The following is a 22,003-nucleotide window of genomic DNA, read 5'->3' on the forward strand; positions in this document are numbered from 1 at the left end:
CCTCCCTTTGCCAAGAGGCTTTGCATGCATACTGTGGCACACTCTCAACACCTAGAAAGCATTTGACAACTTTGCTATAGCCTTCACTTCCTGATTACATAAACCTTTAATGTCAACCAAAGGTGAGGGATAAGGGACTTTTCAGGTCTTCCATGAACACATGCACAACCTTACACAAGTATGTGTCCTTCTAGATCCCCAGGAATATGTGGAAGCTTTTCAAAGCCCCTTATGGACATCTGATTCCCAGCTTTTCCTTTAAAGTTTTTTTTGTCAACTTCTTGTTTGCTCTAGCTGTTATTACCCCATCAGGCAGCTGTGATATTTTTTTAAAGTGTCTCTAATTGTTTTCAACAAACATCCCTGAGGAAAAAGCTGTTCATTATTAGTGAGCTCTAAATCACATCAAATAAACACAAGCCCTTGAAAAAGTCAGGTTTTCCAAGGAACTTTCAGACAGGTCAGATAATAATAATTCTATGGAGATGGGACTTTGGAGAAGCTCTAAATTTGTTGAGTTTCCTCTGTTCACTTCTAGGCTGCTAATTCTCATGGCTACTGTGATTGTGAGGCTGTTGGCTTTCAAGGCCACCATGTTTCCGGGAAGAGGAGATGGGAATAGAGCACATTCAAATGCCACAAATTTTCCTGTTCTTACCGAGGTTCAGCCAGGCCTTTGAATTTTTGTTTTGTTGTTTAAATAAACACTATTTGTATTTTTTTTTTTTTTTTTGAGACAGAGTTTCACCCTTGTTGCCCAGGCTGGAGTGCAATGGCGCAGTCTCAGCTCACTGTAACCTCTGCCTCCCAAGTTCAAGCAATTCTCCTGCCTCAGCATCCCAAGTAGCTGGGATTACAGGTGCCTGCCAGCACACTCAGCTAATTTTTGTATTTTTAGTAGAGAACGGGTTTCACTGCATTGGCCAGGCTGGTCTTGAACTCCTGACCTCAGGTGATCTGCCCGCCTCGGCCTCCCAATATGCTGGGATTACATGTGAGAGCCACCGCACCTGGCTAAATAAACACTATTTGGATTATTGAAAACCTTTCGTTAAGTTCCAGATGTCACCAGTGGAGGGTGTCCAGGTTCTTGGTGTCTTGAACAAAGAATTGAACAAAACTCACAAACAAAGCAAGGACAGAATGAAGGGATTTATTGAAAATTAAAGTACACTCCACAGTGTGGGAGCGGGCCAGAGCATAGGGGCTCAAGGGCTCCATTACAGAATTTTAGCGAGTTTAAATACCCTCTAGAGGATTCCATTGATTACTTGGGGTACACCCTATGTAAATGAAGAGGATGAAGTAAAGTTACAAAGTTATTTACTTGGCCTATGCCCTATGGAGATGATATTTCCTGCCATAGCTGAAGTATGAATTGGCCTTATGTTCCCTACTTCCAGACCCTATTTTCCTGCCTAACAGAATTCTGGAAAAGTTGATATTAACAATTTGCCAGTGTTGTCATTGCTTTTACTGATAATCAGATTTTTTAAGGTCCTTTCACTGTCATTCCCACTGACATCATCATTAGTATATTTAAATTTATGTAACTATCAAAAGATTTCATGGCATAAATATAATTACATGAACTTTTAAACATTTGGAGGTTTGTTACAGTACATTGTTTTCACTATTTTTAATTTCTACTGTGGGAAAAAAAGTGCTTTCTAAACAAGCTGGTATTAATGTTAACTGAAATACAAAGTCACTCATAGACAGATTTTTAATTATATCTTTCCTGGATAATCAATGACTCACAAGAAATCATTTTAACCCAACTTACCACTATTTGAGTAAAAGCCAGGGCTATGTATAACTAGCTAATGTCAAATGGTCTTTATAATTTTGATCAGATGAACTTCACTTCAGGCTTCTATGAGTATGCCAGAGGCTATAAGAGTACAAGAATGGGCCAGACGCAGTGGCTCACGCCAGTAATCCCAGCACTTTGGGAGGCTGAGGGGGGCGGATCACCTGAGGTCAGGAGTTCAAGACCAGCCTGACCAACATGGCGAAACTGCATCTCTACTAAAAATACAAAATTAGCCAGGCATGGTGGCGGATGTCTGTAATCCCAGCAACTCGGGAGGCTGAGACAGGAGAATCGCTTGAACCCGGGAGGCGGAGTTTGCAGTGAGCCGAGATTATGCCATTGCACTCCAGCCTGGGCAACAACAGTGAAACTCTGACTCAAAAAAAAAAAAAAAGAGTACTACAAGGATGAAATATTTAATAAAATATTCATTGAAAACGTATCACATACATAAAGGTATGCTAGGTGTTGGGATTGGGGAAAGCAAAGATACAAACATGAATGTGGACAGTTCTTGCTTTTAGTAGAGTTCACAATCTAGTTGGGGAGAGAAACAAACGTTACAACTAGCAGGAGTTAAGTGGGTGAACTAGAGGGGAGAGAACACTGAGTGTGGAGAGCATTACTCACTAATCTTGACCTCACCATTGTCTTTCACACCTCCATGCCCTTTCATATGCGATACCATCTGCCTAGTATGTCCTCCCCATTTTCACTCCCCCTTTCCTGATAAAACCAGCTCAAATTTCACCTCTCTTACCTCAGACAGAAGAATTACTTACCTCTTACACCTCCTTGGTATTCCCCTAGCATTTATAAACAACCTTACGAGAACATATTCTATGCTCTGTGATTATTTGTTTACATGTTTATCTCACCTACCAGAATGTGAGCACCTCACAGGGACTGCATCTTATTTATTTTAGAACCCTCAGCACCTAGAGCAGTGCTAAGTACCTAGTATCCAGGATGGGAATTAAATTTAGTGGTAGAGGGAATATTTGCACCCAAATACCCTGACTCCAGCTCCAAATGCAGAAGGTTTCTCACTATACTAAGACACCTCTTACCATTCCTGCAGGGAGCCTTCAAGGATTACCAGCATCCTAAACTCATGGGGGGACAGCCAAGAGTGTACCTATGTCATTATATGGTTGACATATTTAATATAACAATAATGCATTATTAAGCATTCCTTGTTCTGAAAGCCTCTGAAATACTTTTAAAACTGTGTTTCTTATGTACTTTGCTGGCCACAGAATTACTCCTGCAGCTGAGATAAAACAGAGCAGCTCTTGAAAAAAGCAATATATAATTGTTTGAGAAAGGAAGTGACAACAAACAGCATGTTAGTTGAAATAATAACAATTAAAACTTGTAACCTCTGTGATCCTTCTATTGCCTCTTTCCCTCCTACTCCTATTTGCCACCCAATATATCTCCAATTTCATCTGGGAGATTTTTGGAACTAACTAGACTTCAGCTGATGATGTCATGGCTGCAATACTGCAGCTACCCCTCAGAATTGCCCCGATCCTTGTGTCCCTTCTCATTCTGGCTAATGATTTAATTATAAAGAGAGAAAATAGGATGTACTCTATTCCATACATTTAACAAAACAGTTAAATTGGAGAGAATCAAGAAAGATCAAGCCCAGTGTTGTTAACTGAATGAGATGCTCAAGATATATTTATCACTATGAAAGTTATAAGAAAGGCAATCTTTTTTTCCAATTTAATATAAGTTATAGAATGACATAGCCATATTTCCCTATAGCTTTTGACTAAGGGTCTCGGGATGGGTATAGGTAGCACAAAAAGAAAAAGAGAGGGAGGAGAGAAAGAAGAGAGAAGAGGAGGAGAGAGAGAGAAAAAAAATGAACTTCACCAATGAATCATAGAAGTGGGCGTGTTTTCTGAAGAAGCCACTTTCATAACAGCTCCTCAGCTGTCACTAATGGCCAGAGAACACACATTCACTGAACCCTTACTCTAGCAGAGACCGTCTCCTGTAGCATATGTAGCTTCTCTGCATGAATTTGAATTCTCCATGTAGCTTCTCTGCATGAATTTGAAATGATCTTTTCCTAGACCTTCTTTATATAGAGAGAAGAAAATAGTAAGTATGTAACCTACAGTTTTCTTGTCCTTCTGGAGTGTCAAGCACTAGAAATGTTTTTGTGTGGGAAGATTGAATCAAGTATAAATTGAGGTTACATTTAACAATGTGGTTTTAATTAGTTTGGACAACAGAGTGTGTGTAGTACTAAATGTTTTAGATATCCTGGAGACATACGTCCTTTCTAATGGAACACGTGACTGTGGAAGGTAGCAGAAAAATGAGCCCCTGTTCAAAACCTGGGAATAATGGGTCTTGAAATCAAAATATTGTGTGTTTACTTTGCTTGAAGTCCTGAAAAAAATGAATGAGTAATGAAAATCAACAGACTCTTACTTTTTTGTAAACATTTTGTCTAAAGCTTCAACATTTGGTGTGGGAGTGGGAGGACAAGAATTGACGTAGTTTAATCATACAAAGCTCTTGGGTCTCCTTTGAAATGAAATCCTAAATTTTGAATAAGCTCAGTTGTTTTTAGCTCTGATTGTGACAGTTTTTACTGTGACATGTATCATTTTGAGAATGCATTGAAGGTAAAATATAAAAAACAGTTTTGTTTGGAGGGTAATGTAAAACCAGATAGGCTGACAAGAGTGCTCTAATTGCTTGAGGGAAATCCCATTTTTACAAACCACAGAAAATATGCTATTTCTTAGACTTGTTTCTTTGCTAAGTGTTACTACCTATAAACTATTCAAGAGCACACAAACAGATGGGTATAGTTGGAGGTTAAGAAACAATCTTTACCTCCTTTATGATATAATTCCTGCATGTGATTTATTTATTATAAATAAAAATGGAAAGATTTGAATTTTTGATTTTCTCAGAGTGCCTTTATGTGAATCTTTTCATTTTGAGAATCAGTAAAGTTTTCAAACTCTTTTGCCTCCAAAGTATCTGAGAAAGCCTTTACTTTATAGTTCTTTCTGGGGCTTGTGTAACTTCTTTAACTGATGTGCTTGACACCGGGGATTGGAGATGGGCTATATAAGTCATAACATCTCAAAACTGGATTGTGTAGGTAATTATGTGGCTCTATTGAGAGCATATATGTGAATGCTCTTAGGCAACTCTAAGATGTAATGCAAATGTAAATGATTGTTCATATGTTATTACTGTTATCGAAGTTTTATAACTTATTTTATTTGCCATTTTTAAAGTAAAATGTGATGATTTGATACAATACAGATTTGAATTTGTTCTCTTAGAAGCTAATTATATGTGTTCTCATCCTTTAGGTCCCACTTATAAGTGAGAACATGCAGTATTTGGTTTTCTGTTCCTATGTTAGTTTGCTAAGGATAATGGCCTCCAGCTCCATTCATATCCCTGCAAAGGACATGATCTCATTCCTTTTTATGGCTACATAGTATTCCATGGTATATATGTACCACATTTTCTTTATCCAGTCTATCACTGATGGGCATTTAAGTTGAATGTCTTTGCTATTGTGAATAGTGCTGCAATGAACATACACGTGCATGTGTCTTTATAATATAATGATTTATATCTTTTAGGTATGTACACAGTAATGGGATTGCTGGGTCAAATGGTATTTCTGTCTTTAGGTCTTTGAGGACACATAGAGGGGAACAACACACTCTGGGGCCTAACAGAGGGTGGAGAATGGGAGGAGGGAGAGGATCAGGAAAAATAACTAATGGGTACTGGGCTTAATACCTGGGTGATGAAATAATCTGTACAACAAATCCCCATGACACAAGTTTACTTATGTAACAAACCTGCACATGTAGCCCTGAACTTAAAATAAAAGTTAACAAAAAAAGTAATTCTACAAACAGTGGTCCAGTTCAGAGGAGAAACCAAGAAAATAAAGCTTAGTATTCTTATGATGATTGAACTATAGTCATTTCTCAATTATCTGGGCCCACCAGAAATCCCACACAGCAGATAATTTTTGATATGTATATTTTCTTTGAGAATGCCTTTTATGAAAAAAAATTGCTATAAGTGGCGGGAAGGGCAGCTGTCTAAGTAGGCATCCCTAAGTCTCTATCAAAACATGCATTTACCAAACACAATAACAAGTGGCTTGGCCACCTGCAGATAATTGAGAACTTACTATTTTGTTCTTGACTTGATTACTGCTGGGTAACTCTGTTCTATGTGGTTAATGGGCTTTCTTGAATATTTCCAAAGGTTTTGGCTCACTAGAAATGGCCAGATATTTCTGCCTCTGTATAAGATGTCATTTGGCAGATTCTGGAAAAGATGAAGTCAAGTTTTTAGTAGAACCTGAAGACTAATCTTGGAAAATTTCCCTATGCAAACGCAAGCTGAATAAGTTGTATTTCCTAATAAAAAGATTAGTGGGAGAGAGAAGAAAGTAGAAGACTTTGATCTTTTTTTCTTGGTGGAAATTCCTCTTCGAGGTCACTTTTAGCAGATTTTGCCTGCATATGTTTCTCTGCTTTTTTTAGATTCAGATGCAAGTTTGCAATCATTTGCTTGATCATATTCTTAAACAAGTTATAGGCAAGCTCTGTATCTTCCACACGTGGCTATCTGGTGACAAAGCTCTCAGCTTCTTAAAACAAATTACATCCAGTTCTATAATTTCATCTGACTAATGTGATTTTCCAAAGTATGCCAGTCTTTAATACATTCATTTGTGGATTTTTTCAATCAGTAACAATAAAAGGTAACAATTCTATGTCTTGTTGTTGAGACAGGGTCTGGCTCTGTCACCCAGGCTGGAGTACAGTGGTGCCCTCTTGGCTCACTGCAACCTCTGCCTCCAGGGCTCAAGCCATTCTCCCACCTCAGCCTCCAGAGTAGCTGGGACTACAGGCCTATGCCACCATGCCTGACTAATTTTAGTATTTTTTTGTAGAGACAAGGTTCCACCATATGTTGCCCAGGCTGGTCTCAAATCCTGGGCTCAAGCGATCCTCCTGCCTTGGCCTCCCAAAGCGCTGGGATTATAGGCTTGAACTACTGTGCCCAGCCAACAACTCTTTTTAACACATGTCATAAGCTAAAACAACATCTTTGAAACTTTTCTCCCCAATCACCTTCCTTTTTTGAGCAAAAGTGACTCTTTTGCTTTAGCCATCTTCAATGCTTTCATTTGTTACTCCTTGCCAATAATATTAGGCATGAGGTGTTGACTAAGGCACTAAATCATATTAATCTTCATATACTTGTAATTTTAAAAACTCTTCCCTGCCCAGCAAATTTTAACTCTTTCCTTTAAGGCTCAACTCATAGCTCCCTGTGCTTTTTAATGCTTAATCACTTAGCCAGTTTATAATTATGAATTATATGATTATTTGATTATTGTCTGTCTCCCCATTCCTCACCACATCACTATAAGCTCCTTGAGATCAGTCCTCATCTTATTTTATATCCTCAGCTTCTAACATGTTGTCTGGTGCATAGTTGGCACTAAATAAATATTTTTGAATGAATTAAGTAATGTCAGCAGATGACTAGATATTATATGCTTCTTGAATTCTTTCCTAATCTCTTCAACCACCACACCTATCTCCCACCCTACTGAGAGTTGAGTATTTCCTCTTCTGTATGTCAATGAAAATTTGCAAGTAACTTAGGTGACCAATCATATACCCAGGTTTACCTGAGACATCCCTAGTTTATGCCTATTGTTCTTGCATAACTATTAGTAAACACTCCCTTCATTCACAAGAGTATCCCAGCTTGAACTGTAATTGAAATATTCATCTTCTATAGAAGTGCATTTCTAGGGTCACTTCTAGCCAACGTTTTACTAGTTGGTTGAGTTCTTGAGGACAGGCTTAGTTCTGGTTTATCTTTCTAACCCTGGGGCTTAGCACAGCCTCTGGCACTCAGGGACTGTTCTTTAGAATAAAAATACATTCTTGCTGTCTTGTCCCAAGGATTTTTGCATTATAAAAGAAACACATACACATAGGCAAACACATGACACCTTCACACTTACACAGGTTTTAGGAAAGATCACCAACATTTTTCTTAAGATACTCTTGCTTAAGGTTTTGAAAGAGAAATCTGAGTTTATTTCTGCTAAGCCACTTATTTCTCTTCTACTTTAGGTTATTGAGTAGGAAACTTCCACAATAATAACAAGTAATTTCAATAAGGGTTTCCTATGTTTGTGATATTTTCCCTGAATTTAAATTTGCTGTTGCATGTCTACATAAGCATGGTGAAATTATTCACACCAATGACAATTTGGACAGAACTAAATATTTGATAGTATGAAATAAACATTCTATGGTCCACTAGCTAAGAGTAGTCGAGCTTATCTTTTACAGGTACCTCCCATTTGCCAAGAAAATATACATTTAATCTTATAAACAGTTGGTTTTAAGTGACTTTGAAGCTTTGAATAAATCCAGGGGAAATATTTCAATGTCCTGTGTACACTAGAAATTATTTCGAAGAAAATAAATTGTAAGTCAGATAGTAAATGTGGAACTTATAAGGAAATTGGTGTCTATGTGTTGACTAATTCACTAAGGGAAATTTTTAAAGTCGCAAGTGGTAATGTAATCATTCCAGGAGTCATTATATGCTGCCTGAATGTCGTTTCTGAGATGTTGATTACGTTTGGCTCTGTTTCCAAATGTGATTCCTAAAGTAAGCATGCAGTTATGCATAGCATTCTTCAAACCATTAGAGGTTTTTCTTGTTTGTAGAAACAGAATTGAGGCAGGGTGTGGTGGCTCACGCCTGTAATCCCAGCACTTTGGGAAGCCGAGGAGGGTGGATCACCTGAGGTAAGGAGTTCGAGACCAGCCTGGCCAACATGGTGAAACCTCATCTCTACTAAAAATACAGAATTAGCCGGGCATGGTGAAACATGCCTGTAATCCCAGCTACTTGGGAGGCTGAGGCAGGAGAATTGCTTGAACCCAGGAGGTGGAGGTTGCAGCGAGCTGAGCTCATGCCACTGCACTCCAGCCTGGGCAACAGAGCAAGACTCTGTCTTAAAAAAACAAACCAAAAAAAAACAAAAAAAATTGTCCCTAATTCTCTTCTGTAATTAATATTCTTTTTATTATGTTCTGGTTTCTCTTGCAAGTTGAGTTGATTTTATCCTTTTCTCCTTTTGTTTATCAATTACAATTTAAAAAGTGGCTTCAGACACATTCAGGAAAGTGCACACACACCCTTTCTTATCTGAAACACACCTCTCTGTTAACCCTTACAGCCTGCTTCAGTTGTCTGAAGCAATTTTAATGGTTTTCTAGTCTCCCTAGTAGATGGGGTTCCTGATATTTTGTAAAGAGTAAGAGTAACGCTGGAGAGCATGTGCTTTTCTTTCTTTCTTTCTTTTTTGAGACGGAGTCTCACTCTGTCACCCAGGCTGGAGTGCAGTGGCGCGATCTTGGCTCACTGCAAGCTCCACCTCCCAGGTTCACGCCATTCTCCTGCCTCAGCCTCCCGAGTAGCTGGGACTATAGGCGTCCGTCACCATGCCCAGCTAAATTTTTGTATTTTTAGTAGAGACGGGGTTTCACCATGTTAGCCAGGATGGTCTCGATCTCCTGACCTTGTGATCCGCCCGCCTCGGCCTCCCAAAGTGCTGGGATTACAGGCATGAGCCACTGTGCCCGGCCCGCATGTGCTTTTCAGGAGTGGATTTTAGCCTTAGCAAGAAGGATATGGTGTGGGATCTGGAAACACTTCCTGGCAGAAAGGAAGAAAGAGAGTCTTTCCATGGAAATATATGTATGTATATATACATATTCTTGCACCTTGTTGAAATGTGATGTTTCTTGTTCTCCAAATTGTTGTGATAAGCAGATAACTTTAGCTGTTATTTTGTGTCCATGTCGCAGGGTGGGGTAGGGGGGCGACAGGAGCGGGTGGGGGGCGGGAATTACAGCATTATTACCACCACTGAAATTTTTATGTCTAGAATTATTATAGAATTAGGGACTCTTTATCTTTAATGTAAGTTGAGTGTAATCATTGTAAGAAGAAAAACCAAATGCCAAAAATCCTGTAGTTTCTTAAGAAGAAACCTCTGTATTCTAAAATGCTTTTCCTAAAGTTTACTAAATATGATGTGGTATGTGTGTTTATTTGTAGGGACTGATAACATCTGAACATACCAAACCACACAGTCAAACTCTTGCACCATCGCTACCACGACATTTTACTACAAAAGAATGCCACTGCATGTGGATTCCAAGCAGGCTAAAAAGAAAAAGAACTGATTAGACCTCAGACGACCCACTAAACGGGATGACGGCCACAGCTGAGGTAGAGACACCAAAAATGGAGAAGAGTGCCTCCAAGGAAGAGAAGCAGCAGCCTAAGCAGGACAGCACAGAGCAGGGCAATGCTGATTCTGAAGAGTGGATGAGCTCTGAGAGTGACCCTGAACAGATAAGCCTTAAGAGTAGCGACAACAGCAAGAGCTGCCAACCTAGGGATGGTCAGTTGAAGAAAAAGGAGATGCACTCCAAGCCACACCGCCAGCTCTGTCGATCACCCTGCCTAGATCGTCCAAGTTTCTCCCAGAGCAGCATTTTACAGGATGGTAAACTTGACTTGGAGAAGGAATACCAAGCTAAGATGGAGTTTGCGCTAAAGCTGGGCTATGCAGAGGAACAGATTCAATCAGTGCTAAACAAGCTGGGCCCAGAATCACTTATTAATGATGTATTGGCAGAGCTTGTCAGACTTGGGAACAAAGGTGATTCAGAAGGGCAGATCAACTTGAGTCTGTTAGTGCCTCGTGGGCCCAGCTCCAGAGAGATTGCAAGCCCTGAATTGTCTCTTGAAGATGAAATAGATAACAGTGACAATTTGAGGCCAGTTGTCATTGATGGAAGTAATGTGGCAATGAGGTAAGCCTGGTATGTTTTTTTCTCCCATTTTAAAAAACTGCCCTGAGCTCATAGAAATTTTCTTCCTTTGCAAATCATTATAAGAGGAGCATGGCTATTGACTGTGGCGTGTGTTTCTGAAGGTGGCCAGAGACTAAAATGATCCTGCCCTTGCCTTTTCTTCTTCCACTGAAGTTGCTGCCAATTTGTTTTCAGGTGTTCTAAAGGCAGCTTCGACATCAGTGATGATGCTTCAGAGGAGACATAGCCATTCAGCTTTGTTCCTTTTGTGGTCTGCTGTCCTATCCCTACTTTACTAGACTAACCATCCTGAAAATGCTGCTTTTATAAAGTCACTTTGGGGTTTACTTAGGAACTTTCAGTAACTCTCAACTGTTATTATACCAAATTTTGATCCTTTTCCCTGGCTTTAAGGCTCTTTGTGATCAGGCCTGTCCCTCCTCCCATTTGATTGCATCTCTCATGCTTACTGCATTTACATCTATCTCTTTAACAGTCTCCATGAAAATTATGCTGATTTCTATCCCCATTACCTGTGTTCATGTCTTTTCCCAAATTAGAAGTGGCCTGCTTTGTATCTTCATAGCCTTCAGAATGCACCACCTCCACAAAGAACTTCCTAATTTTTCTGATTCCAATGATGATCTCTGAACTACAATATCTGTGGTAGGCTGAATGATAGCCCCCTAGAGATGTCCACATTTTAATCCCTGGAATCTCTGAATACATTATCTCATATGGTAAAATGGACTTTGCAAATGTGATTAAGGTTCTTGAGATGGGAGAGATTACCCTGGATTATCAAAGTGGGCCTAATGTAATCACAAGTGCCTTTATTAGAGGGAAGCAGCAAGATCAGAATAAGTAGAAGGAGATGGAATGGCAGAAACAAGAAGATGGAGTGACGTAAGAAAGGGACTATGAGCCAAAGAATGTGGGTGGCCTTTCTCACCCATTGGACTGTTTCAGGAAAAAAAAAAAAAAAAAAAAAAGAATGTGGGTGGCTTCTAGAAAGCTGAAAAGGGCAAGGAAACAGATTCTCTCTTTAAGCTTGCAGAAAGAACACAGCTTTGCCAACACCTTGATTTTATATTTCTGACCTATTGAACTTGTAAGAGAATAAATTGGTGCTATTTTAAGTCACTACATGTGTGATAATTTGTTACAGCAGCAGTGGGAGACTCACATAATACCTATAGTGCCTTCATAATTTATTCCATACTCTCTCATATCATTTTTTAAATTTTGTGCCAGAGAGCCATAGGAATCCCTTCTTCTATTTCTCAAATGAATTGTAATCCAGCCTTGGTTTAAAAAACCCCAGTAATCAGGAGCCTTTTTCCTATTGAGTCTATCATTGCTTGATGGACTCACTAGAATCCCTAGACCATAGGCAATCAGAACAAAGTGAAAAAGCCTTAGTCTAGCAAGTTTTAACTTAGATTATCCCATTGTCTTTGAAAGCAGGGATCTTGCTTTGTTTTCCCATGGTATTGGGTGCTCCCACAGAGACATGAGAGAGTGGGGATGGGAGAAAGTCATGAACCGTACCATTGCTGTATACAGGAAATGCTTAGCAGACTATCTAGAAGTACACTTTAGTATATAGTCCTGTTTAATCCTCACAGCAACTTTATCTTACAGATGAAAAAATAAGGCTCAGCAAAGGTAAGTGACTTCCCTGAGTTTACATAGCTAGTAAGTAGTAAAGTGAGAACTCGAACTTAAGTCCTCTGACTTCAAATGAATGAAATGAAACAAACTAACATTTATGAATACTGATTCTGTGCCAGATTCTTTTACGTATGTGAATTAATCCCCACTGGAGACCCTATAAGAATCAACTAATTTGGTTCATCTTTGCAGGTGAAGAGATTCAGGTTCAGAGAGTTTGAATAACTACCCAAGGTTACCCAAGCTTACAAAGCTTAAATTAAAACACTAATCTGACTCCAATTCTCTTTTCATAATATCACACAGTATTATGTGGCTATTAGTGTTATTAAGAATATTTGGGCCAGGTACGGTGGCTCACACCTATAATCCCGACACATTGGGAAGCCGAGGTGGGAGGATCGCTTGAGCCCAGGACTTCAAGACCAGCTTGGGCAACATGGCAAAACCCTGTCTCTACTGCAAATACAAAAATTATCCAGGCATAGTGGCACATGCCTGTAGTCACAGCTACTCAGGAGGCTGAGGTGGGAGGTTCTCTTGAGCTCGGGAGGTCAAGGCTACAGTGAGCAGTGATCTCGCCACTGCACTCCACCTTGAGTGATGGAGTGAGGCCCTATTTAAAAAAAAAATATATATATATATATATATATGACATATTTGCTAGTATCAGAGAATGCATTTACAGATTTCCTTTTTCAATTTTTTAAAATCATGACATCATCATAATTATAAGGTACGTAAAGCAGGCTAGACAGCTCCTTTGTTTTAATGAGGGGAAACCAAAAGATTAGTAACAAGAAAGTTAAATGGTCTGCACACAATACTACAGCAATCAGAATGATGCAGTGGGCCAGTGAAAAGCAGAGGATAATGTCTGTGTTCAAAAGGCCAAAGGTGTCTCTGCTCCCCTCCTAACAGGCATAAGAAAGAGTGATTCTTGAGGGGAAGGAGTTTGGGATGTGTCCAACTCAATCTGTCACCAAACCAGACCACCCGGAACACCCTAGATCGGACCTGATTCCCAAGGCCTACCATTTTTTTTGTTTTGTTTTGTTTTGGTTTGGTTTGGTTTGGTTTGGTCTGGTTTTGTGTTTCGGAGTTAAGGTTGAGAAGAACCTAAGGCATTATTGGGGACTTTGGCTTCATGGTAATGTAATATCTTCCTTCTCTTTGGACTTCTATTCAAGGATTGCTGATCATGAAGGACACTCTGGTTCTTTCGCTTTTTAAGGAATAATGCAGAGATTAATTACTTGGATAATTAGTTTCAACATATCTGGTCTATGTCAGTAGCAAACTGTTATACTGACAGGAAAATGAACTTTGATCTCCTGTATGAGTTACTTTGCTAAATTAAAGGCATCTCGCATGATTTAAATAGAGCCAAGAAATAGCATGCAACCTTATTGTTAGGAACATACTAAAATAGTGCAGAGTAGACCATGTAATTTTTTTTAAATTGCCAGTTGAGTCCTTGTTAGCATCTTTTTCTTTTGTCTGAGTAGTAAATTACCGTTAAGTCCCATTTATTCTGCAATCACATTTCACATGCTCAAAGTTCAGCGCTATAGTCTACTTATGGATTTGTTATTACTGTTAATCTAAATTTGGTTTGTTTTCCTCATTAGTTAGCTGTAAGTTTATGGTGAGATTGGTATTTCTTAGACAAACTACATGTTAATGTCTGTTGTTTCTCAGCCTGTTGGATTATCCTGCATTAAAATTATGATGCTGGCCAGGCACAGTGGCTCAAGCTTGTAATCCTAGCACTTTGAGAGGCCAAGGCAGGCAGACTGCTTGAGCCCAGGAGTTCGAGACCAGCCTGAGCAGCATGACAAAACCCCATCTCTACTAAAAATACCAAAAAATAACCCAGCGTGGGGGTTCATGCCCGTAGTCCCAGCTACTTGGGGGGCTGAGGTGGGAGAATCGCTTGAGCCCAGGGAGGTTGAGGCTGCAGTGAGCCATGATCATGCCACTGCACTCCAACCTGGGTGACAGAGCAAGACCCTGTCTCCAAAAATAAAATAAAATTATGGGCCGGGCCTGGTGGCTCACACCTGTAATCCCAGAACTTTGGGAGGCTGAGGCAGGAGGATCACTTGAGGTCAGGAGTTCGAGACCAGCCTGGCCAACAAGGCAAAACTTCATCTCTACTAAAAATACAAAAATTAGCCGGGTGTGGTGGTGGCGTGCCTGTACAGGAGAATCGCTTGAACCCAGAACGCAGAGGTTGCAGTGAGCCGAGATTGCGCCACTACACTCCAGCCTGGGTGACAGAGTGAGACTCAGTCTGAAAAAAAGAAAAAAAAAATTTATGATGCTTCGTTTGCCATTAGCAGCATTTGGTTAACATTTGCAGTAGTAGTGCACCTGTGGTCCACATACTGATTGATATATGCTAAGATCCTAAAGGGTACATTCATTCTGAGAGCTGTCTCCTTTGGAAGGAGAAATCCATTTCAGAGGAATTAAGGCTTTGAAATGTAAATGCAACCATATTCTTTGTTAAGTCTAGGAGAAGCCCAAACATTTGAACCCCAGAGAAAACAATTGCAGAGGGTGGGGCTAATGACCTATCTGCTAAGCTGAATTTGGCTTGGGAACCTGGATCATGAGAGGTTCCTAAGCAAGTTTACAAGACAAAGTGAACTGTAGTGTCACCAAGATACTCCGTGACTTGCAGGTCCTAGGGTTTTTGGCATTTTTTAGATTGCAAAAGGACATTGTATGTGTTTAAGCAAAAACAAGCCACTTGAAAAGCTTTATTTTCCTCTTTTTTTTCAAAAAAAATTATTCATTCCTTAAATGTTTAGGGGCAATAAACTTTGCATACTTGGCTGTTGTGTAGGTACTCATTGCCACCTTGATAAATGTTGAAACTGCCTTCTGATTCTTATTGGGCATTTGGTGTGCCTCATGAAATGCTTCAGTGGCATACTTTTAATATATTTTAACGGGATGCTATAGGTATGTTACATTTTTTCTTAACATAATTCTCAGTATGTTAGGAAATTGATATCAGAATATAAATATATCAAAATATTAACAGTGTTTGTCTCTGGATTGTAGTAAAACAGTTGGATTTTGGAGTTTTTTTTCTTTATATTTTATGTATTTTCCACGTTTTATACTATAACCATATATTACATTTTTAATGATTATATGTATATATTTAGAGACAGGGCCTTGTTCTGTCACCCAGGCTGGAGTGCAGTGGCATGATCATAGCTCACTGTGACCTCAAACTCCTGGGCTCAAGTGATTTTCCTGCCTCAGCTTCCCAAGTAGCTAGGACTACAGGTGTGCATCACCATACTCAGCTAATTTTTTGTAGAGGCAGGGTCTCACCATGTTGCCAAGGCTGAAAAAAAAAATTTAAACACAGAATTTGGCAGTATAAAATATAAAGTTGGCTGGGCCTGGTGGCTCACGCCTGTAATCCCGGCACTTTAGGAGGCTGACGCTGGCGGATCACAAGTTCAGGAGTTCAAGACCAGCCTTGGCAACATGGTGAAACCCCGTCTCTACTAAAAATACAAAAATTAGCTGGGCATGTTGGCGTGCGTTTGTAATCCCAGCTACTCGGGAGGCTGAGACAGGAGAATTGCTTGAACCCGGGAGGCAGAGGTTGCAGTGAGCCGAGATGGTGCCATTGCACTCCAGCCTGGATAACAGAGCAAGACTCTGTCCCAAAAAATAAATAAATAAATAAATAAATAAATAAATAAATAAATAAATAAAATATAAAGTTGCAGTATCTAACAGCAAATGTTACTCTCATATTTATTTCTGGACTTAGACTGTTTGGGAGAAGATCATAGCACTGCAGAGCCAAATGAAATTCCATCCCTTCAAATCCTCTCTAATGGCAATTCTGATAATTTTCCCAAGTTCTGTTATTCTTTATACTTACCAGCACTGTAGCAGTGGGAAAATTCACAACTGAACATCTTCTCTTCCAGAGTTCATCCAATATTAACCCTTTAAGCACTGTGGTCTTGCATAATTTCCCCATTGTTCAACTTTTTAGGAGTCAGTGGTAGTTATCTCTAAGGCTACCTTAGAGTGTATTGACAGCTAAATATATTTTCCTTTTGTTTCTTAAGTGCTTTCAACTTTCAGTTGAGTAGTATAATTGTTTTGTGGTACTCACTGGGGAGCTTTAAACATGATTAGCATATGCTTGGAAATGTTAATAAAAGCATTTAATAAATTTTTGCAATTTGCCTCAAGAGTGATAAGACAGTGGGAAGTCTTGCAGTACAAGAATTGATGAGGCCCCGGATATTATATATGAATTCATTGAAAGGGAACAATATGTTGGAGTTCATTTTTGTTGTAGTTAGTGAGCTAGTGCCAGTGAGAAGGTGAGGAATCCAAAGTGAGAAGCCCCATCACATTGTCTTAATTAGCCTTCTAACAAAACAATTATTTTCTTCTGATCAGTCTTAACAGACAATAGCCACTTGATTGTAGTAGAATTGGTACGTGTATGCCCATTTGTTACCATCCAAGCTGTTTAATTAACTATAATTTAGTGTGATTTATGTATATGTCAGAGCACTAGATACCATGCTAAGAGATCGTAATTTTCACAGCCAAACAAGGCACAAATCTAGTGCATCTTTTCCCAATTTATCTGCAAATTTTCCCTCTTCCAATTTCTATTTAAATGAATTCTGTTTGGCTTTTTAAGTTTTCACAATGTTTATTCCTATAAGTAATTCTGATAGAATTTCTTCTCCTTTATTTCATGTTCTGATTATAGAAAGAATACTTGAATTTTTTTTTCTTTTTAATAAACATGGGGTCTCACTATGTTGCCGAGGCTGGTCGCAAATTCCTGGGCTCAAACAATTCTCCCACCTCGGCATCCCAACCTGCTGGGATTACAGGCCTGAGCCATCGCACCCAGCCAGAAATACTTGATTTTTTGAGGATATTTTGGAATTAGAGGAAGAAAATAGATCACTTATAACCCTCTCACACAGAACAACAATATTTATTAATATTTCGATGTACTCATATTTTTTCTAAGCTTATACATAGGTTTTCTTCTACAAAATCGGTGTTACATTATATATAGTCTGTATTTTTTCTTTTCTCTTTCAGAATTATGAGCATTTCCTACATCTTAAAATTTTCATGAATATGATTTTTGTTGGTGCATTGTATTAAATGCATATATGTAATAAGAATTTTCAGTGAGCATTTATGTGCATATCTTTTTTGCTGTCGATGTTATTTTTGAAGCTTAATATATATGTGCTTAAGACTTATCCCCAATTAATACTCTATATAAACTTTAAACCTCTGGTAATACCTTTACTTTTTTAATTTTTTGTGAATATCTCAATCTTTGAAAAGAAAGTGGTAGGAGAAACAGAAAAAGAAGAGAGAAAATGGAACTAGTGATAGGAGATAGCCATCAGGGCTGCAATAAATTGGGAGTTGTTACTAACCATCTGTGGCCTTGAATGAAGTTTGTAATAATAATGGCAAATTTGTAACAATTACATAAAAATATCTTGATTTGCTCTTTAAAAAGCATGTTATTTGGCATTATCAAGAAAGTAAATGTCATGGCTGGCCGCAGTGGCTTATGCTTGTAATTCTAGCACTTTGGGAGGCCGAGGCAGGCAGATCACCTGAGGTCAGGAGTTCGAGACCAGCCTGGCCAACATGGCAAAACCCCGTCTCTACTAAAAATACAAAAATTAGCTGGGCATGGTGGTGTGCATCTGTAGTTCCAGCTACTCAGGAGGTGGAAGCAGGAGAATCACTTGAACCCAGGAGGTGGATGTTGCAGTGAGCCGAGATTGTGCCACTGTACTCCAGCCTGGGAGAAAAAGTGAGACCAAAAAAAAAAAAAAAAGAAAAAAAAGAAAAGAAAAGAAGCAAAAGGAAGAAAGAAAGAGAGAAAGAAAGAAAAGAATGTAAATGTCTATTATTAATACCTTGGTACTAAGAAAAAGCCTGCTTCAGATATTTCTTTGCTATCTATTATCAATCTTCTCTCCTCTTATTCTGTATCTTCCTAAGCCATGGGAATAAAGAAGAATTCTCCTGCAGAGGAATACAACTTGCTGTGGATTGGTTTCTAGATAAAGGCCATAAAGATATTACTGTATTTGTGCCTGCATGGAGAAAGGAGCAATCCCGCCCTGATGCACCAATTACAGGTATTGTGTCAAATAAGACATTTCTTCTCATCTAGAGGCAAATCTGGAAAGATAGTTTGGGGATGGTCCCAATTTAGATATTTATTTTTCAAAGTTGTTAAGTATATTTAAAGTATTTTTATTAAGCATATATTTGAAAAAAGATTCAAAGAAAGTCATCATTATTTTGTAGCATCTGACAGTTAAATAAAGAAAACTTCAATTCGGCAAAAGATAAAGCACATAGTTTCAAAAAAAAGGAGTGCTTTTCTATTTGACCATAGACTTCAGACTAAAGGGTGATGAATCTGGTTATGAGCATGACTAAGTTTTCAAGAGAGTAAAAACACCATGGTGGACAATGGATCTCATTCTGTACCAAAGAAGTGATTGTGGGGTTTGCAAATTAGGGAATAAAATAGAGAGAAAGAAAAGTCCCACAGCAGTCAGAGCCAACTTATCCATGAGACACAGTAGGTCTGGCACCTAGGGCCAATGATATTGCTAAGGTCCCATGGAAATGTCTTAATTTTATTTTCTTCTCACATCAGAAGAAAAAATTGAATATAACAGCAATGCATGTACAATGATGTATCTAGCTGGGTTATCCTTGGCTTTATACTGAAGCAATTGAAAACGAAATTTTTAATATTTAATATTTATCTTTGTTTGAGACAGGGTCTCACTCTGTCACCTAGGCTAGAATGCCATGGTGTGATCATGGCTCACTGCAGCCTCTACCTCCCTGGGCTCAGGTTTTTCTCCCACCTCAGCCTCCTGAGTACCTGGGACTACAGGCATGTACCACTGCGCCTAGCTAATTTTTGTATTTTTAGTAGAGATGGAGTTTTGCCATGTTGCCCAAGCTGGTCTTGAACTCCTGGGCTCAAGCTATCTGCCCGCCTCAGCCTCCCAAAGTGCTAGGATTACAGGCATAAGCCACCACGCCCAGCCAATATTTAACATTTCTTATGGAGGAAGGAGCCTAGGAAAGCAAAAATGCCTAAGGTTTTCAAAAGTCATGATGCAGTCCTAACGGCAGAGGGGTCTCTACATTCATTTACAACAGTCTTCTGAGCATCAGCTGTTGCCTGATGTGCCTAATGAGAAAGTCCCGTGAATGGCTGTCTGAGCTGTGTGTGAAGCTATTTGCCATCTGCTGAACAGGCTCTTGAGCCTCAGTCTGAGAATAGATCCTAGCCCTGCTCAAGCCCAGCCAGCAAGCTTTCTTGCCTCGGCAACTAGGAGACCAAAAGGAAAGGGGGTCAGCACTCAGTTGCTATATCTTGATGTTTCACCCTAGTTTTGGTCTTCCCTCAGGCAGAAGCCAAAAATGTAAGTGCCTAGGAGAGATGCTTTAGTTTCCTCCTGGCAGACACATCCTCAGTATTTCCCTGTTAGAAATCAACAACCAAAAAGCTGGTGCTTTGGCCAAAGGGCAAAACAAGCATCAAGAATGCTAAGATATCAGTGTCACTCTCACTCTTCATGGTAGTTTTTAAAACTCAAATGTCATTGAATCCAGTTCCTTCATTTTATCAAAAAGAAGACTGAAGTCCAAAGGGGAAGATGACTTGCCTAAGGTCATAATCCAGATTGATATCATAGCCAGGAACAGGGCCTACTTTCCCTCTAAGAGCAAATAATATCTTCATCCAGTACCAACTTTTGCATTTTTAATATTGGGGTAATACTGTTAATTTCCAAAGATGATTTCTGCTCTGTGGCATATAATCATATTTTGACAGATCAAGATATTCTACGAAAACTGGAGAAGGAAAAGATTCTTGTCTTCACACCATCCCGAAGAGTCCAAGGCAGGAGGGTTGTCTGCTATGATGACCGGTTCATAGTCAAACTGGCTTTTGATTCTGATGGCATCATTGTGTCCAATGATAACTACCGAGACCTTCAAGTTGAAAAGCCAGAATGGAAGAAGTTTATAGAGGAGCGGTTGCTGATGTATTCTTTTGTGAATGACAAGTGCGTTTCTTTCCAGTAGGCCTATATCCAAGTTATCAGTAAGAATAGATTACATTTTAATAAACATTTACCAAACACTTACTGTGTATCATACATTTTGCTAGTTGCCACACAGATAAAAGGATGAATAAGGAAAAGGACTCACCCTTAAGAGACTCAAAGTGTAGTAGAGGAGCGAAAGAGACAACCACAATGTTTTGTTATAAGAGCTACAGTTAAAATTTGTTTTTTAAAAATTGCTTTGTCTATGTGAAGTAATAGAAAAAGGCATCCCAGAGGAGATGACATTTCAGATCAAGTTTACAGATGGAGGAAAGGGGGCTGCTAGGCATGAGGTGAGGGGGACATCATGAATAAAGTTATGAAGGTGTGAAAGTGGGTAGCATGTTGGGGGAACCAGCAGACATGCCAGTACGGCTCAAACATGTAGTTCATGGAATAATGATGAACAGGGAAAATCATCCTTTCTATGTGATAAAGTGGCAACAAAGGGAAGAACTGCTAGATTAGCAGAGGATAGACTTGAGGCAGGAAGGGCAATTAGAAGGCTGTGACAACAGTACAGGCAAGAGGTAATGAAAATCTGAACTCCTAGTAAGGAGTAGGGGACAGAAAGGAAGACAGTCACCTCTTGCTTACTTGCTTTCAGATTTATGCCTCCAGATGATCCATTAGGACGCCACGGCCCAAGCCTTGAAAATTTCTTAAGAAAGAGACCCATTGTTCCTGAGCATAAGAAGCAACCATGTCCTTATGGTGAGTACCTACATACAAAACTGAGTTCTGTACCACCGGAAACATAAGGATTCTGTGAACACTTTTCTCTTCCAGGTTTCCCTTTCAAATGGGAAATCCTGGCTTGTCCACTGTCTTTGAGTTAAAGTTTGTGTCTTCGTGTACACTGTTAGGTATTTAAAGAAAAATCTTAGAAACTGAATGAGGAAAAGGTAGCTAGAATTGAAGGGAAGACTAGTTGTCACTTGTGACAATAGTACATGTGTTCTACCTGCCTAAGTCCTGAACTATGTTGCTGGAAGCAGGGAAATGAAGAAATCTATATGGCCTGTGGAAGTAGAAAGGGCAATACCAAACTGAGTTTGGCCCCAAGATGAACATGTGTCTCAGGCAGGTGACTGCACCCTCTTTCAATTAATACTAACCTTTCCTTTAGATCTGTCCTTTCCAGTTTTTTTGTTTGTTTGTTTGTTTTTTGAGACAAAGTCTTGCTCTGTCACCTAGGCTGCAGTGCAGTGGTGCAGTCTTGGCTCACTGCAACCTCCGCTTCCCGGGTTTAAGCGATTCTCCTCCCTCAGCCTCCCCAGTAGCTGGGATTACAGGTGCATGATGCCAAGCCCAGCTAATTTTTGTATTTTTAGTAGAGACGGGGGTTTCACCATGTTGGCCAAGCTGGTCTCGAACTC

The 22,003-nt window shown here is 39.4% G+C and overlaps 1 protein-coding gene across 15 annotated transcripts in view, besides 1 other annotated feature; it reads left to right on the forward strand.

Moving 5' to 3' along the window:
- The window catches only part of ZC3H12B (zinc finger CCCH-type containing 12B), a 473,062-nt gene that overhangs the window by 443,826 nt on the left and 7,233 nt on the right, over positions 1 to 22,003 (forward strand). For all 15 annotated transcript variants that reach the window (NM_001010888.4, XM_047442075.1, XM_047442077.1 and 12 more), the window contains 4 exons: positions 9,995 to 10,758; positions 18,481 to 18,620; positions 20,348 to 20,582; positions 21,232 to 21,338. In NM_001010888.4, the coding sequence (NP_001010888.3) occupies positions 10,151 to 10,758; positions 18,481 to 18,620; positions 20,348 to 20,582; positions 21,232 to 21,338 (1,090 nt within the window). In that variant the 5' untranslated portion in view covers positions 9,995 to 10,150. The remainder of the gene's footprint in view (positions 1 to 9,994; positions 10,759 to 18,480; positions 18,621 to 20,347; positions 20,583 to 21,231; positions 21,339 to 22,003) is intronic.
- Positions 14,679 to 15,258: an enhancer, noted in NCBI's record as "OCT4-NANOG hESC enhancer chrX:64713210-64713789 (GRCh37/hg19 assembly coordinates)". NCBI's record gives its function as "activates a minimal SCP1, AML or CMV promoter by ChIP-STARR-seq in primed H9 embryonic stem cells {active_cell/tissue: H9 hESC(primed)}" and the evidence as "EXISTENCE:reporter gene assay evidence [ECO:0000049][PMID:30033119]".

This window comes from Homo sapiens, chromosome X (assembly GCF_000001405.40).
Source record: "Homo sapiens chromosome X, GRCh38.p14 Primary Assembly".
Taxonomy (NCBI): domain Eukaryota; kingdom Metazoa; phylum Chordata; class Mammalia; order Primates; family Hominidae; genus Homo; species Homo sapiens.